Consider the following 1,354-nt stretch of genomic DNA (forward strand, 5'->3'; position numbering starts at 1 on the left):
TCCATGTAGGTAATAAGCCGCTAGCCCGTCTCTTAGAACCTCTCATTTCCTTTCCATCATGGAAATCTGTCCTCAAGGAGATCACTTCTCAGTGTTCCATCTGCTATTCTACTCCTCCTCAGGGATTGTTCAGGCCCCATCCCTTTCCTACACATCAAGCTCGGGGATTTGTCCCTGCCCAGGACTGGCAAATTGACTTTACTCACATGCCCCGAGTCAGAAAACTAAAATACCTCTTAGTCTGGGTAGACACTTTCACTGGATGGGTAGAGGCCTTTCCCACAGGGTCTGAGAAGGCCACCGCGGTCATTTCTTCCTTTCTGTCAGACATAATTCCTCAGTTTGGCCTTCCCACCTCTATACAGTCTGATAACGGACCAGCCTTTACTAGTCAAATCACCCAAGCAGTTTCTCAGGCTCTTGTTATTCAGTGAAACCTTCATATCCCTTACCATCCTCAATCTTCAGGAAAGGTAGAATGGACTAATGGTCTTTTAAAGACACACCTCACCAAGCTCAGCCTCCAACTTAAAAAGGATTGGACAGTACTTTTACCTCTTGCCCTTCTCAGAATTAGAACCTGTCCTTGAGATGCTAAGGGTACAGTCCATTTGAACTTTTATATGGACGTACTTTCTTGCTTGGCCCCAACCTCATCCCAGAGGCCAGCCCTCTAGGCGACTATCTTCCAGTCCTCCAACAGGCTAGACAGGAAATTCACCAGGCTGCTAATCTTCTCTTGCCTACTCCAGATCCCCAGCCATATGAAGACACCCTAGCTGGATGATCAGTTCTTGTTAAGAATCTGACCCCTCAAACTCTACAACCTCGATGGACCAGACCCTACTTAGTCATCTATAGTACCCCGACTGCCGTCCACCTGCAGGATCCTCCACACTGGGTTTACCGTTCCAGAATAAAGCTGCGTCCATCAGACAGCTAGCCTAATCCCTCTTCTTCCTCCTGGAAGTCGTAAGTACTCTCCCCTACTTCCCTTAAACTTACTCATATTTCTGAAGAACAGTAATATCCCTTATGAGCCTAATACATCCCTTCATTCTATTAGGTCTGTTCGTCCTTACCCTACTTTTTGCAACAGGGCTTTACGAAGTCACCCCCACCACTTAGGCCAAGCCCCAAAAAACTAGTCATCCCTACTATTTTCTGTCTAGTCATACTCCTATTCTCCGTTCTCAACTACTTATAAATGCCCTACTCTTGTTTACACTGCCAGTTTACACTGTTTCTTCAAGCCATCACAGCTGATATCTCTTGGTGCTATCCCCAAACCACCACTCTTAACTCCCTCTTAGAGTGAATAGATGATCTTTGCTGGCAGGGCACCCTCCAATAC

The sequence above is a fragment of the Homo sapiens genome, chromosome 9 (genome assembly GCF_000001405.40).
Source record: "Homo sapiens chromosome 9, GRCh38.p14 Primary Assembly".
NCBI lineage: Eukaryota > Metazoa > Chordata > Mammalia > Primates > Hominidae > Homo > Homo sapiens.